We start from the raw sequence: 17,732 nt of genomic DNA on the forward strand, positions 1-17,732 counted from the left end.
AAGGCCTGTTCAACTCTATGTAAGAACAATTTTATCTTATTTGAAATATATTTACAGGACAGCTTTGGCCCTTTTGAGCTCAAAAAATTAACATTTCCAATTTAAATACTTTTTGTGTTTTTACATCACAGCAAAAACATATCTAGTCATCAACTTTTCTTACTGACTCATGACATGGTTTCATTAACAAGTTCATTTGAAGGTCATAGATGTTTTGCTTTCCAAATATTTCAGTCTCATTGACTGTACATTTTAACAGAAGTTTAAGGTGACATGAAAAAAATTTTATATAAACTTCAGTCAATTTTACATGGCAGAAAATATATGTTATATTAAATATAATGGCTTAATGTTTACCATGTTTTATTCTGTACATTCATGTGAAATATCACATTTCAGATAGTATTATTAAAACATTCTCTTAAAAATAGAAAACCTAGATAGCACATGTGATATGCAATATTCATCTTGAAAAAGATATGTGAGTGACTTTTGATTGGGTTACTGTCTCAGTAGCAGAATGACTATTATGTGTACAACACAACACTTAATTAACATTCTACTGTGGTAAATGAACACAATCCTCCTAAAAATTACCTTCAGGGATTTAAAGCACATGGTCTTTATGATTTCTGGGTCACAGACTCCTTAAAGGAGCATTTCTGACAATGCTATTCCCAGATATAGGCACCACCTTATGTACAATGGCAAAGATTTCAAGACCACCTGGGGACTGTATATCATCATGATGAATATTTATGTGCCTGAATGAAAAGAACAGACATCTCTTGGGTGCTTTTAGCTTTTGAGCCTATGAATCACATTTGGGGGCAACCGCAATATATTATGCCATGGATAGTCTCAACTACAAAAGGCAAAAGAGTCTCCTGCAAAATAGAAGCAAACTGAAAGTACTTTCTGCCTCATAGGATTGGTTATATTCAGACTCCTTCTTCCTCAACTTTTATTTCTCCATGCCAACCTTCTGGAAACGTTACAGGAGAAATAGCCCTTTTGTTTGCAAAAGGTGTGACAGGTTTTCTAGGTTACTTGATGATAGCGCGCTTTAGTTATGTCACTCTCCCAAGACAAATTGAGCTTTATTTTTATCTTAGAAAAAAGAAAGGAAGGGGAAATAGTGTGTTGTCATCAAATGACATAATAATTTTTATTTAGATTAGCAAAAAACCCACATTGAAATGAGAAAATAAGAGCTTATTTTTATATTTTCACCCAAAGTTGTGCTTAACATTCTTTAAAGCAATATAAATACATTTTGTAAGGATATGCAGTTACATTAATAAGATTAGTTTCATTGTTTCTAGCATCATTTTTAAGGTAACCAAGTCAAATGCCTTAATTTAAATATCTTTATCAATCAATAAGGTATGAAGAGCAAGACTTTATCTGGTAACTGCTTCCCTAAATTAGTTAAGATGATTTTGCAACTGCTAATTAAGGCCACAGAATGTGCCAGAAAATGTGATATTCTTCCAGCCTTCAGAGAATTTAATCCTATGTTTAGCTAAAATATGCACATATTAATAATTACTAAAGTACAAAACAGTAAATCCACTACTTATGGATTTACTGTTACTTATGAGACCCACATATAAAGTGAGGGTCTCATCTTACTTATGAGACCCACACATAAAGTGAGGGTCTCATCTTACTTATGAGACCCACACATAAAGTGAGGTGAATTCCTAAATATTAGTTTGTTATTGCTGGTTGGAGAAATAAAAAATAACAATTAAAGAAATGTGTATGTGTGTGATTTATACGTGTTTTAATATGTGAGCTACTTTGTACTTGGAATAATTTCTTTGTTAAAAAATCAGGGAAAAATATTTCAATGTATTGTAAAACAGTAAGTGTGGGTTAATAAATTTTATATATCCTTCCCATTACATTGACTCTGTACTTTCTGGATTTTTAACTGAGGTCTATGAGTGTTCTTCAGAGTAAATTCTCTGATATTTTAATTAAAAATGTATGTGCATATGAATGTATATGTTATTTTTCTGGAAAAAAGCTAGCTTTCATTAGCTTGTAAACAGTATCTGTGACCCAGAAAATGTCAGGAGGTTGGTACATTACCTGTCCTAATTCTAATTATTCATTGTAAACTTTAAAACAATGACTCTGAACCATTGATACGATTATTTATTCCCAGAGAGTTAGCATGAGATAATAGACTAATTAAAATCTCTTTTTGCTGGAATCGAATTACTGAAATGTTCAATGTAGAAAACAAACATTAGCCTACAGCAACCTGAAAACAAAGTATTTCATGAACTGAATAATGTAAAAGAAGAGAAATATAAGTCAAATATGATGAAATTCATTTAAAGTGGTGCTTTCCATGAGGAGAACCTTATCATACATGAACACAATTTCAAAATATTTCATGCAATTTCTATTTCTATTGGAATTATCTTTCTGCACACTTTAGATAATGTGCCAATTAGTTAACCAGTATCATCTAGGAGGAAGTTAAGTGTGAAATTATTGGAGATAATTTATTATGTAGAATATGTTCTTGTTGTATTATTAAAATATGCAAATAAAACTATGTTTTTAAATAATGATGACATATATTTATGGTTTCCAGATATGTTATAGGATGCCAAGCTAAGTGTGAATTTCAAATAATGAATAATTTTTAGCATAACTATGTCCCAAATATTGTATGGAACATACTTATCCTAAAAAAAGTCATTCATCTGAAGTTGAAATTTAACAAAGCATGCTATACCTTTATTTGCTAAATATGACAATCCTACATATATCAAATATTAAAAATTTCAGAAGCAACAGAAAACAGCAAAACTTGCACTAAATTTTCAGATAGGCAGTTTAAGAAAGAAATTCTCTTGAGAATCAGTAGTATCTGATCAAAACATAAAAATAAATGCTTTCTAGCTCTTCAACTGAATAACAGATTAATATACAGAATTAAAAAGTCATTATAAAATTAAATTTTAAATAAAGGAATGTACTATTATCTTTGATTATCACATTTAATAAAGACTCTGTATCTTTTATATTATTAAAAAAATGCCCTCTACAAATGAAATAGTTTCCAGGATTGGAGTGACTGTATCAAGAAATGCTTACAGTGGGCAGAATGTATAAAACAATGACTGAAGTGTTGGAGCACAAAAAGTTATTGATATGATTTGGTTCTGTGTTCCCACCCAAATCTCATGTTGAATTGTAATTCCCAATGTCGGAGGTAGAACGGGGTGGGAGGTGATTGGATCATGGGGGTGGTTTCTAATGGTTCAGCACCATCCCTCCAGTACTGTCTTGTGATAATAGTGTTCTCACGAGATCTGATTGTTTAAAAAGTGTGTGGCACCTTCCCATTCACTTTCTCTCTTGCCAGCCATGTGAAGACCATGATTGCTTTCCCTTCAGCCTTCCACCTTTGTAAGTTTCCTGAGGCCTCCCCAGAAGCAGAATCCTGCATAGTCTGCAGAACTGTGAGCCAATTAAAACTTTTTTCTTTATAAATTACTCTGGCCCATGTATGTCTTTAGAGCAGTATGAGAATGGACTAATACAGTTAGTTATTAAACATGAATTTACCATCCTGTAGTCATAGGAGAAACTATCTTGTAGTCATAGGAGAGTAGTCATAGAATGGTCCTGATGTATGTATGTAGAGAAAGAAGAGAAAATACATTGGAGGAAGAAATGTTGAAGGGCACTTGAAAATTGAAAAAGGATAAAGGGCAAAAGATAACCTTGGTGGTGAAAGGGCAAGGTAAAATCAGAAGTAGATGTGAATGGAAGCAAAGAGTTAAACTAGCAAGTTGGATTGAGACTATTTTATTTGGAAAAGAAAAATAAATGTAATTTATAGAGTTTGTCCAAGTTGAAAAGCCAGTTGAGAAAGGCAGGCTAAAAGGTGAGTGAGGGGAGGAGGAAATATCCACGCAGATCCCAGATAAGTTGTATAAGTTAGCAACAAAATGTATAATTGCAAGTCATACAGTCAAAGATACAGTTGTTAGGAGGTAGATTCTGAATGAGTGATGTGATGAGCTGAATGTATCATACACAGTGTCAGTTGTTGGAAATAGTTTAGTATGTCTATGTGAATATAATGACTAGTGCTTGCTATTTGTGTTTATCAAATAATATTGTTTATTGGAAAATGTAATGATATGAGAGTTGTCTAAATGGCATTTGCTTACTCTCTTGCACATTGTTTGGGTAAAAGAAGGGGTGAAGCAGTTTCACATCATTACATAGCATGTGGAATGGAAAAATGTTCAACATATATTAGTCGAATGAATAGATGAATGAGAGAAAACAAACTCAGAGGTATTCACAAATATTGTACTGAAGCAACTTCTTTTCCCAAATAGTTAAAGAACTTGTTCTTTGGCTGGAAGGTAGGAGAAAGAGGAGGATACAGAGAGATTTGTTAAAGGATATAAAATTAGAGCTAGATAAAAAAGGTAAGTTATAGTGTTCTATAGCACTGTAGGATGACTATATTTAACAATAATACATAGTTTCAAATAGGTAAAAGAAGGATATGAAATGTTCTGAACACAGAGAAGAGATAAAATATTTGAGATAATGTACATGGTAATGATACTGATCTAATCACTATACATTATGTATATCAAAACATCACTATGTACCCCATAAATATGTAAAACTAGTATATGTCAATTAAAAATTGGTCAGATGCCAAATAAGGACTTGTTGTTATATTTAATAATCTAAATTATTAAAAGATAATATTTAATAATCTAAATTATTAAAAGATAATATTTAATAATCTATAGTATTAAAATGGATCTGCTTTAGTCAGTAAGAAAAATTAGTTGTTTTTAAAAAGAAAAAGTCTCTGCTCCTTGATATCAATTTCAAGATTCAGTGCCAATACTCATGAATAGAAATAGAGATATATAAACTAAGTAGATATTCAATATAGCTAGAGCATTTTTGCAAATCACATTCAAATGGTAAAATATGGTTAAGCTCTTTTAAATTCTATGGGAAATAAAACTTTTTTAAAATAAAGAAGTTTGTTATAATTTTCAAAAGAATGAAGAGGCATATAGAAACCCATACTGAGGCAATTATGAAGAAAATACAAATCATTTAGAATTAATATGTTCTTGAAGCGCTCATAATATTTTGAAGTCCGAGAATAAATGCCCTTCTATTCAGATTCCTAGAGCTTCACAGCTGGTTGTAACACATATTCATTTAAATTAGTTTTTAAAGATATTTTAATCTTTTTTAAGAAGTTAATTTTAATCTTTTTTTAAAAAGTTTCTATTAGGATTGCTGCAATTCTAATTTAATTAATTTATACTGAAAACTGATTTATAAGAAAAAAATTAAGATACAAGGAGATATAACTTTATGCCCTCTAGACAGGGAAAAATTTAAGAAATCTGACTATCAAATGTTGGAGAGTGTGTGTGGATCAAATTTGCTGTTAAGAGTCAAAATTTGTCTAACTATTTTCAAAACAATTGAACACTTTGTTGTACAAATATCTTTTGGACCCATGATTTCTAAAAAAATCTTCGTTCAAGTGCACCTAAAGACAAAAATACAAGACTATTTTAGCAGTACAGTTTGCAAATGGAAAACACTGGAAGCAAACCTAATACACTGACAGAAAATTAACTTAAAGATTGTAATGTTTTCACAAAATGGTGCACTTCACAAGATTAATGAACTATAGTGTCATGAATGTGATGTGCCACCACAACCCCACTTTGTACCAAGACAATCAGTTTCAGCTGCCAGCAGTATTTTCTGCTGATAGTTAATAGCTAATTGCTCTTGGGGAATTACCTTTGGTCAAAGATAGCTGCTTCATGTATGGGCAGTCCACATCTAAGAGGTCACAAAGTCTGGCCACCTTACTTCTATTTGGGACTTTTCTGAAGGGTGCCCCAGCTTCAGAGCCTCCCTTGGATTTAGCAAAGTTCTCCCTTGCAACTGCACTGTAGTTCATTGTCTCCTTTACCCAATCCTCCTTTCCTCATCCCTTATAGATGTGGTTCCTGAGAGCACTTGCCAATAAATCACCTTCACACAAGTTTTGTTTCAGACTCTGTTTTCTAGGAGTCTGAACTAAGGCAGATGATATGAAGAGTAGTGTTAGAAACAGATTCTAAATGGAAATTTTGTAGCTGGGTCACCAGTTGGCTACTGGCGATGAAGACCTCATCAATGACAAAAACATTCCATGTGTATTAATCCAAGTCATAAATTTTTTGGAGACATAATACTATGTGAACATCTAGAGGAAACTTCCACAGGTGTTGCTACTTATCAGATATCCTAATAATCTTTTCCATCTCTTTCTTCTTTTTAACTATAATGTCTATTTTACAATATAAGTGGGCATTGGCAAAATTTATAGAATTGGTATAATTGCCAGATTTATTGCTTATACTAGATAGAATGGAAAACTTCAGCTTAGACAGTGGCTATAACTTTACCTGGCCTGTCTTTTAACCTCTAGGAGAAAGAATGATTGCTTTGTTTACAAGATTTACCTTTGTTATGTCTTTTCTATAACAATGTGAATGCAGGATAGAACAATTATTCCATCAACTATAATTCAAACAGTTATATAGAACAATTATTTTATCAACATATACAGTCAAATCCATTAAATGATGCTTCTTGGTTTAATTATATGGAAAGAAGTACTGCATCAATGACACTAGATGGAGTATTTATAGCACCAGGTATGATGTAGTAGAATAATTGCTAAATTTTGCTGGTTGTGAACAGAAAACAGTGTAAGTGATATACTACAAATGCAGTATCTCAATATTGGAAAGGTTTAGGGGAAATAGTAATTGTAAGGACTATGAAATCAGATGGCTATTGAGATTGGGAGGGCTTGGGGAAAATCAATGCATGGGAAAAAGCACATTTATGGTCTGGCCCTAGGGCTATTTTACCTTGATTTCCTCTCTGTCAGATACAATTTGGAGGAAACTGGTCATTCTGCAGAATATCACATTGACCCATTGTACCAATATAATGATGTTGATGATCATGTTAATCAATACGTCACAAATACTTTGGTAAGACACTTATAGTCAAGAGGATGGTAAGCTTTATGAAGATGTAGGGGCCTGTCACAATCGTGAAACTTAACAAGGTTGGGAGAAGAAGTCCAACAGTCTGCAGGATTCAAGGCCATCCTGGAAAAGACACTTCTTTATTTAAGTTATTTGAACCACTCCTCCAGAATATCAATGGGCCTCTTTTTCTGGGGTACTTGTATAAGAGAATAGTTAGTACAACAAACCATAGTCCTTACCACTGCAGCTATTTTGAAGCTAGAACTGCTACTCTTGTTTTCTCCTATTTTATGCATTCTACATTACCTTCACCATCAGCTACGAACTGATCAGCTGGCCTTAGTGTCTTAGCTAAGGGTGTCAAGTCCTCACCACTGAGGAGTCTGAGCCCCTAGTCACTATACACTTCCAGCTACTAACTACAATTGTAATTTACAGTCAAACATGGGCAAAGAAATAAGTGGCACCCAAGTAAGTCATCTAGCCAACATTTTTTTTTTTCAGACCCACATTTTGAAAAGGAGTCCTACTTCTTCCTGATGATCAGGGTAGCTAACTCTTCCAAGATGGTGATGTCAAAAGGACACACCAGGATGAAGGGGTGCCCCACTGGCCACATCTGGCACAACTTTAGTATCATAGGAAATAATGATACTAACTGATTTTAGTTCAATAAGAATTCATGAATCAATATAGAAATCAAACAGAAAGAGAGAAAAAATATTTAAAATGACTTAAAATGTTAATGATTGAGGAACTGTTGTATAGTGGTATATGGGAATTCTTTGGACTAATCTTGCAATTTGTCTGTATATTTAAAATTATTTAAAATAAGATATTAAAAGGCTAACCTTTTAAAAGTGAGACATGGAAGTTTCAAAACTAAGATTCAAAACAACAAACTGAAATAAGTTAGATCTGAGTTGTCTAGAAAAACACATAAGCCGGGTTCTTACTGACTTTTCAATGAACTTCAAAACAGGAACAGACATTTTGGTTGCCTATTGATAAATAGAATTATGATGATCTGTGGTTTGAATTTACTTATAGTCTCATTTTGGGGTTCTTGTTTCTAACTTATTTACAACTTTGTAAACTCACCATGATTCATGACTTCTGATTCATATTGCCTAGTTTATGAGACTGCATTGAATTCAGAATGCGTGCTGTGATGCCAAATTTATTTTACTAGTTTCTTATTGAATATTTAGGACTATTGAATTACTTTAAGGAAAAAAATAAATATAAACAACTATCAGGGGATACAAATGTCTTAGATGAAAATTGTCTAAAGAATTTAGAATTTTGTAGAGAAATTTGTTTAAACAAAACTATCAGCTTCATGAAATAATACACTTTAAAATAACAAATATAGAGTACCAGAAGAGTTATCACTTTTAGACTCTGAAGTGATTCTGATTATGTCAAATCAGCTATGTAGTAATTAAAGAAAAAAACTTAAATGTCATAAATTATACTACTGCTATGTTAGTAAGATACGCCTAACAAGTTACTCAAATCGTATTGCAGTCTGCAAGCACAGAAACCATTCCATGTGTATTCATCCAAGTCATAAATTTTTTGGAAACATAATACTATGCAAACATCCATAGGAAACTTTTCCACAGGTGTTGCTACATATTATCAGAGACCCCAATAATCTTCTCCTTCTTTTTCTTCTTTTTAACTATAATGTCTATTTTACAATATAAGTGGGTATTGGCAAAATTTATAGAATTGGTATAATTGCCAGATTTATTGCTTATGCTAGATAGAATGAAAAACTTCAGCTTTGTCAGTGGCTATAACTTAACCTGGCCTGTCTTTTAACCTCTAGGAGAAAGAGTGATTGCTTTGTTTACAAGATTTACCTTTGTTATGTCTTTTCTGTAACAATGTGAATGCAGGATAGAACAATTATTCCATCAACTATAATTCAAACAGTTATATAGAACAATTATTTTATCAACATATACAGTCAAATCCATTAAATGATGCTTCTTGATTTAATTATATGGAAATTTATATCAGCTAACTCTGAGTTTATCACATTGTAGATATGAAGCCAAAAAAGGGTAGAAAATCTAACATGGAGTCTCAGTGTGTGGCTCTGGGGTGGGGCCCACAGCATGTTTCAAAAGTTCCGTAAATAAGATCACCTGAAAAGCAATGAAAAGAATGTTCGGTAGGAAGCCAGATTTTTTTATTTTTTTTTTTTTAAGATTTTCATAGCAAAGCTAAGAAAAAGTAGCAATAAATGCTCTTAATTTTAGGAAAAAGAGAGTAAAGTTTTTAATTTATTTTTAGTAGTCAGTGTAATAGATTAATGAGGATGAAAGTCAAACAGGAGAGGTCAATGGAAGAGTTGGGGCAGAGAGGAAATAAGGACAATAGGAGTCAAAACCACTTTCCTCTAAGAATTGCTTACATACATTGACTAGTATCTTTCATAGGATTTTGTCAGCTAATTAGTACATATAATTCATCCATAAATCTTAATTACTGAGTCATATTATTCTGAACTAAATTATTCTCCCTCCATGACTCAGTGCTATGGAAAACATAAATATATTGCTCACATCACCCTAATAAACATGAAAGGTAAGAAAACTATGCACTAAAGGAAGTTTTTAAGAAAAAAAACTTTTCAAGTCAGTTTCTATTGGGGAAAGCAACCATTGAGAATGTAATCTATATTACAAATGTTCCTGAAAAGACAATTATACAGCAATTCAAAAAGATGTGTGTGTCTCATCATAGCATTTTGACCAGCTTTGATTTACAGAGGAGTTAATTGGTAAATCATAACAATAGTAGGAAGTGCCTCCTGATGAGAGACTCCTCCAGTGTTACTGTAATTTCTATAAAATGTTTCCTCTTTGATACTCCTTGTTTATGATAGATAGATTAAGACCATTCTTTGCACCAGGCATAACAAATGGAATTCCCTTTTTTATTTTCTAGTTTCTTAGAAGAAAATGTTTTAATAATATGCTTTGATTAATATATGCCATTTCATGTGAGGCAGTCTAATTTACTCATAAAATACTTTAGATTCTGTTTATGTGTTAGTTTAACCTTTATTTCGGTTTCATGTTATAATGATCTACTTATTTATGTTTGTGCTCTTGACCAAAATCTAATTTTAGGTTACACTTATTTATTCTTTTTAAAGATTCTACCACTGAATGGAAACATGGCATTGTTTAATTTTATTTTAAGTGGCAAACCTCAGTAGGGATTATACACTGGTAATAAACCCATTTGGGAAATGAAATTGATTGTGAAAACATATCACCAATTTCTTTAGGCCAGTATCATTTAAGTTATTCAAAGTGAGAATTTTAAACTGAATCATGTAGATCCATTTTGAACTTTGTTTATGAGAGGGCAAAATAATCTGGGTCTGTGAGCCAGGGACTATGTATCTTTAGTCCCTTAGCCACTCTTGTCCTCACTTGTCTCATTTACAGAGTGAGAAAATTGGAGTACATGTCTTCCATGGTACCTGCAACTCTGTGATCCTATGGTTTGCTTTCTTTCTACTTCATGAGTGTGACTCCAGTGTGTACAGGCAAAAATATGTCAAAGATATAGCCCTAAGTCTAGGGCCTTGTGAACTCTCCATAAATAAATAATTGAATCAGTAAATGAAGGATACTTTGAAAGGAAATCAACATAAATAAAGCCTCCCTGTCTAAATCTGCTCTTCCCTTTGCTTGGAATTTTTTTCCCCCAGTTCTTCATATGGCAAGCTCATCATCACTCTTATTGCAGATCAACTGTCACCTGACTCCTCTACCTTCTCCTTTGTTGCCACCTGTCCCAGGGAAATAGTGAAAATGCTTTATAAGGTTTCAGTTCCCTGCATTCCCCAAGAAAAATTATGTTCAGAAAACTTCTCCAAGAGATTTATTTTACTTATTTAGTTGTCCTAGTAATCATAAACACATTAGTTTGACATAATGAGTTAAACAGTGTACCTGAAGAAATTGAACATTCAAATGTAGTGAATTTAACTGATTAAAAGAGAGTGTTCTTTGGAGATTAAGCAATAATTGCAGATGTTTCATTTACTGCTTTAAAAATTCTGATTCGAGAGACTTAAACGTTCAAAGCATTTGAATAGATTACTAAACATTGAGTCTAAAATATGCAAAACCAATTGATTCTATTTTTGGCCCAGAATGCAACATTTATAATAAAAACTTAATGTATCAGCTAAAGCCTTATTAAAGTAGTAAATTTACCCTCATAAAATTGGGAGAATCACTGTGATAGAATTAGGATCCTCTAGACTGTGAGTTTCCTTGTTTTTGATGATCTTGACAGTTTTGTGTAATGATGGCCAGAAATTTATACAATGCCCTCAATTGGGTTTGTCTGGTGTTTTCCTTATAATTAGACTAGGATTATGGGCTTTTTGAAGAATGACTACAGAGGTGAAATGCTATTTTCATGTGAGAGAGTTTTGCATTCTGTTTACCATGATTAGATATCACTCCATCTAATGGTCTGAAATTATGTTATACAGATTACATGTTACTCATAGAAAATTTTTTATAAGTTGATTTATTTACCTAATATCTGTCTCTCACAAAATAGAAGGTAAGCTCCATGAAAGCAAGTATTTGCCTGTCTTGGCCATCACTCTATCCCTGGAGTATATGAAGAGTGTCAGACACATAATAGGACTGTGATTAATATTTGTTGAGTGAGTGAATAAAAGAGCGAGAAATTGTATCTTGGGTGTAAGTAGCTGAATCCCATCTTAACTCCAGCTGAATGCTGTAGTCAATATATACTATACTGTGCCAAGGTACTATATGAAGTCAGGGTTCTCTGGAGTTATAGAACTAATAGGATAGATGTATTTGTGCAGGGAAGTTTATTAGGAGAATTGACTCACATGATCACAAGGTAAAGTCCCACAATAGTTCATCTACAATCTGGGGATCCAAGAAGCCAGTCTGAGTCCTAAAACTCAAAAGAAGGGAATCCAATAGTGTAGCCTTCAGTCTGTGGCCGAAGGCCCAACAGCCCCTGGCAAATCACTGGTATAAGTTTAAGAGTCCAAAAGCTGAAGAACTTGGAGTCTGATGTTCCAGGGCAAGAAAGCACACAGCATGGGAGAAAGATGGAGGCCAGAAGACTTAGCCAGTGTAGTCTTTCACATTCTTATGTCTGCTTTTATTCTAGCCATGCTGGCAGCTGATTAGATTGTGCCCACCCAGATTGAGGGTGGGTCTCCATCTCCCAGTTCACTGACTCAAATGTTAATCTCCTTTGGCGACAGTCTCACAGACATATCCAGGAACAATACTTTGCATCCTTCAATTAAATCAAGTTGACACTAAATATTAACCATCACAAGTCCACCCCTTGTCAACTTGAACCCATACATGTCTCCTGAAATCATACATAATCTTCAAATAAAAATGATAGTAAGGTCATAATTACACCTTACGTAATACAGCTATCTTTCTGACAACCAAAAACACACCAATCCCCAACCCAAATGCTATTTCATAAAGAAAACAGCACTTAAATGCTGACAGGAAGTCAACAAATCTTATGCCCCATGATAAAGAAAAAAGAAAAACAATAAAATGAGGACATTTTCTTAATACGAGTGTATACATGCACAAAAATGTTCTTTACAAAATAAGGAGGAAATACTCATGAAGTTATACTCCTTGTTTCTGCAAATAGTCATGTTGTCATAGCTGGTATTGATGACTACCTTCTTCTAGTACCCATTCTGTATTCCCATTGCCTTCAGCAAGCACCTCAGCCTCAACAGATTGTGGTGTTTTACCTGGTGGAATGACCCAAACCTTCATTCCTGAAGGGTCTGGGCCATTTTTAGTCCTGCCTGGACTGGGCTGTTGTAGTTTCCCATTTACCTTAATCACAGGGCATGGTAATACTAAGAGACGCCTAATGGATCTCCTGTATTCCATGCATACTCTTCCTTATCTCCATTGTGGAGTAGTAGACTAATTTCATCTTAATAGCCCTGGTCAGTCAGCTCAGACAACACTGTAACACCCTTCTTAGCCTTTTGACTTAGAGATAGGAGGAGCCCACAGTGTCCAGATGCCAATCTTAACTTCCAGTTTAATGGAATCATTGTGTCTCCTGGTGGCAGAGTTTCTCCCTCCAAAACTAAGATCCCTAGGCCAGCAGAAAGTAATGCTGTGGGAACAGGTGGCAAAACTTTTGCTAGTGGATCACTAGGAGTGATGGTGAGTGGTGCCACTTCCATTTCCACCCCTTGAGTCCTGGACCCGTGAATCCTGCCTATGGGAGAAACAGTACCATATGTTGGATGCAGATTCAGAGCATACATATACAGCCTTCTGGAGAACTTTGCCTCAACCCTGCAAAGTATTGACAGCTAGTTGGCATTGTAATTATGACTTCAAAAGGCCATTCCACTGTTCCATCAATCCAGCTGCTTCAGGATGGTAAGACCAGTGAATTCTATGATCACAAGCCCACTGCTGCACTTCTTTAGCTGTAAAGTGAGTGACTTGGTCAGAGGCAATGCTATGTGGAATGCCATGATGGAGGATAAGGCATTCCATGAGGCCAGGGATGGTAGTCTTGGCAGTAGCATTGCATGCAGGATAGGCAAACCCATATCCAGAGTAAGTGTCTATTTCAATGAGGACAAACCACTGCCCTTTCCATGATGAAAGAGGTCTAATATAATTAACCTGCCATCAAGGAGCTGGCTGATAACCCTGAGGAATGGTACCATATCGAGGGCTCAGTGCTGGTCTCTGCTGCTGGCAAACTGGGCACTCAGCAGTAGCCATAGCCAGGTCAGCTTTGGGGAGTGGAAGTCCATGTTGCTGAGCCCATGCATCACCTCCATTCCTGCCATCATGGCCAATTTGTTTACATGCCCATTGAGTAATGATAGGAGAGGCTAGGGATAGAGACTGAGTGGTGTCCACAGAATGAGTCATCCTATCCACTTGATTATTAAAATCCTCTTCTGCTGAGGTAGAGTAACTCTTTGGTGAGCTCTCACATGACATACAAATATCTTCAGTTGTTGACCACTGGGAGAGGTCCATCTGCACACCTTCTTCCCAAATTTCTTTGTCACCAATTTTCAATCATGCTTCTTCCAAATCCTTGACCATCCAGCCAAACCATTGGCTACAGCCCATGAATCAGTATATAATGGCACATCTGGCCATTTCCCCTTCCAAGCAAAGTCCACAGCCAGGTGCACTGCTCGAAATTCTCACCACTGGGAAGATTTCCCTTCACTACTGTCCTTCAGGGACGTTTTAAAAAGGGGCTGTTGTGCTGCAGCTGTCCACTTTTGGGTGGTGTCCGCATATCTTGCAGAACCATCTGTAAACTAGGTTCTTGTATACTCTTGCTCTGTCAATTGATCATAGAGAACTCTGTATGAGGCCATTGGTGCAGGCTGGGAGAGAGATGGCAAGGTGGCAGGAATGGAGACTACGGGCATTTGAGCCACTTCCTCATGTAACTTACTTGTGTACTCAGGACCTGCTCTAGCCCTATCACCTATATACCACTTCCATTTGATGGAATTCCATAGAATGCTCCTATGCATGCCCCACTTTAGGCCTAGATGGGTCAGAAAACACCCAGTTCATGATAGGCAGTTCTGGTCACATGGTGACTTGATGATCCATAGTCAAACATTCAGATTGTACCAAAGCCCAGTAGCAGGCCAAGATCCTCTCTTGGATAACTACTCTCTTAAAAGGAGAGTAGTTATCTGCAGAAGTAGTTATCTGCAGAAGACCTTGCTCCAAAATCCTAGAGGTCTCTGCTCTGATTTACCTATGGGGGCCTGACAAAGGCTCCAAATGACATCCCTATCTGTCACTGATACCTCAAACACCATTGGATCTGCTGGGCCATGTGGCCCAAGTGGCAGAGCAGCTTATACAGTAGCCTGGACCTGTTGCAGAGCCTTCTCCTGTTCTGGACCCCACTCAAAACTGTCAACCTTTCAGGTCACTCGATAAATGGGCCAGAGTAACACACACAAATGAGGAATGTTTTGCCTCCAAAATTCACATAGGCTGACTAGGCATTGTGCCTCTTTCTTGGTTGTAGGAGGGGCCAAATGCAGCACCTTACCCTTCATCTTAGAAGGAATATCTCAACAGGCCCCACACCACTGGACCCCTAGAAATTTTACTGAGATAGAAGTTCCCTGAATTTTAGTTGGATTTATTTCCCATCCTTCTGTACACAAATGTCTCACCAACAAGTCCAATGTGTTTGCTACTTCTTGCTCACTGGATCCAATCAGCATAATGTCATCAATGTAATGGACCAGTGTGATGTCTTGTGGAAGGGAAGAGCCATCAGGATCTCTCCAAACAAGATTATAACACAGAACCGGACAGTTGATATACCACTGATGTAGGACAGTAAAGGTTTATTGCTGGCCTTGCCAGCTGCAGGCAAATTGCTTCTGGTCAGCCTTATGGACAGGAATGCAGAAAAAGGCATTTGCCAAATCAATGGCTGCATACCAGGGACCATGAGATGTATTAATTTGTTCAAGCAATGAAACCACATCTGGTACAGCAGTTGCAAATGGAGTCACTCCTTGGTTAAGCTTACAATAATCCACTGTCATTCTCCAAGATGCATTCATCTTCTGCACAGGCCAAATAGGAGAGTTGAGCTGGGCTTTGTTGGGAATCACCATCCTTGCATCTTTCAAGTCCTTGATGGTGGCATTAATCTCTGTAATCCCTCCAGGGATGCAATATTGTTTTTGATGTACCATTTTTCTAGGTAGAGGAAACTCTAATGACTTCCATTTGTCCTTTCCCACCATAATAGCTCTCACTTTAACAGTAAACACCTGGCAAGGCCGTGCATGCACCTTTTGTTGCAGGTCAGCCACTTGCATGATAAGAGCTTGTGTCTGATTTTCCACAACTTTAGCTCTTTCTCTACAGGAGATAAGTTATTTCTCCTATTCAGAGAAATCTGAGAAGATTTGAAGCTCACTATATGCCTCTGGATCCAGGAAAGAAAATCCCCGAGATTATCATTTTCTTTCATCACTTTGTCCAGTTAACTTAGGAGCAACCAACCAACTTCATTATATTCATTGGTTCTCCACATATGGTCAAATGTATTATGTATAGAGTTACTAAACTCCTTGCCCCTCATGAGGGGTGAATCAGGAGCATCAAATAAACTTATTTTGCATAACTCTCTAAACAATTCATGCCAAGGACTATCAGTGTTCTGCATACTATTAGAAAGAGACTCCTTAGAATTTTGAGGTCTAATCACATTAAGCAGCAGTATTAGTCTGTTCTCAAACTGCTAATAAAGACAGACCTAAGACTGAGTAATTTATAAAGTAAAGAGGTTTACTTGACTCACAGTTCCACATGGCTGGGAAGTTCTCACAATCATGGTGGAAGGTGAATGAGAAGCAAAGTCATGTCTAGCATGTCAGCAGGCAACAGAGAATGAGAGCCAAGTGAAAGAGGAAACCCCTTATAAAATCATCAGATCTCATGAGACTTATTTACTACCAGGAGAACAGTATGAGAAAAATTGCCCCCATGATTCAATTATCTCCCACTGGGTCTCTCCCACAACATGTAGGAATAATGGGAGCTACAACTCAAGTTAAGATTTGGGTGGCGATCCAGCCAAACCATATCAGCAGCCAACTCCAGAAACCCTGAAACCAACTAAATAAATCCATCCTTAAGATTCTGTGGCTCTAGAACCACTCCTGGTACAAAAATCTGTATTAGAGTTCTCTAGAGGGACAGAACTAATATGATAGATATATATATGAAGGTGAGTTTATTAGGAGTATTGACTCACATGATCACAAGGTGAAGTCTCACAATAGGTTGTCTACAAGCTGAGGGGCCAGGAAGCCAATCTGAGTCCCCAAATCTCAAAAGTAGGGAAGTCAATAGTGCAGCCCTCGGTCTGTGGCTAAAGGCCCGAGTGCCCCTGGCAAATCGCTGGTGTAAGTTTAAGAATCCAAAAGCTGAAGAACTTGGAGTTTGTTGTTTCAGGGCAAGAAGCATCCAGCATGGGAGAAAGATGGAGGCCACAAGACTTAGCCAGTGTGGACTTTCCAGGTTCTTCTGCCTGCTTTTATTCTAGCCATTCTGGCAGCTGATTAGATTGTGCCCACCCTGATTGAGGGTGGGTCTGCACCTCCCAGTTCACTGACTCAAATGTTAATCTCCTTTGGTGACACTCTCACAGACACACCCAGTAACAATGCTTTGCATCCTTTAATTCAATCAAGTTGACACTTAATATTAACCATCAAATCAGGAAGAACAGCGTTTACTCAAATTCAGTTATAAAGATCTGGCATGTATCATTTGGGAGGTGTATCACATTAGTATTCAATAAGAACATAGAAAACAGAGGCAATTTAATAGCAGGAATTAGCTACTAAGATGTTAGAAGGTTGAAAAAGCCAAATCAAGGAAGGAAAAATTAGGAACAGCAGGATGACGCTACTCCATAAAGCTGAGGAAGAATGAGGGACAAGTTCACTACCCATAGCCCATGATTATTGTACTTCCGGAGCTAAGTTGCCTGAGAGGAAATGGCACTTGCCTGTGTTGCTTTTTCTGCTTC

The 17,732-nt window shown here is 36.0% G+C and overlaps 1 long non-coding RNA gene across 3 annotated transcripts in view; it reads left to right on the forward strand.

The window, feature by feature from the left end:
- The window catches only part of CALCRL-AS1 (CALCRL and TFPI antisense RNA 1), a 544,253-nt gene that overhangs the window by 185,171 nt on the left and 341,350 nt on the right, over nucleotides 1-17,732 (forward strand). For 2 of the 3 annotated variants that reach the window (NR_187179.1, NR_187178.1), the window contains exon 2: nucleotides 3,392-3,488. This is a non-coding gene — a long non-coding RNA (CALCRL and TFPI antisense RNA 1). The remainder of the gene's footprint in view (nucleotides 1-3,391; nucleotides 3,489-17,732) is intronic. The other variant, NR_187180.1, reaches the window with a different exon arrangement.

The sequence above is a fragment of the Homo sapiens genome, chromosome 2 (genome assembly GCF_000001405.40).
Source record: "Homo sapiens chromosome 2, GRCh38.p14 Primary Assembly".
Lineage (NCBI taxonomy): Eukaryota > Metazoa > Chordata > Mammalia > Primates > Hominidae > Homo > Homo sapiens.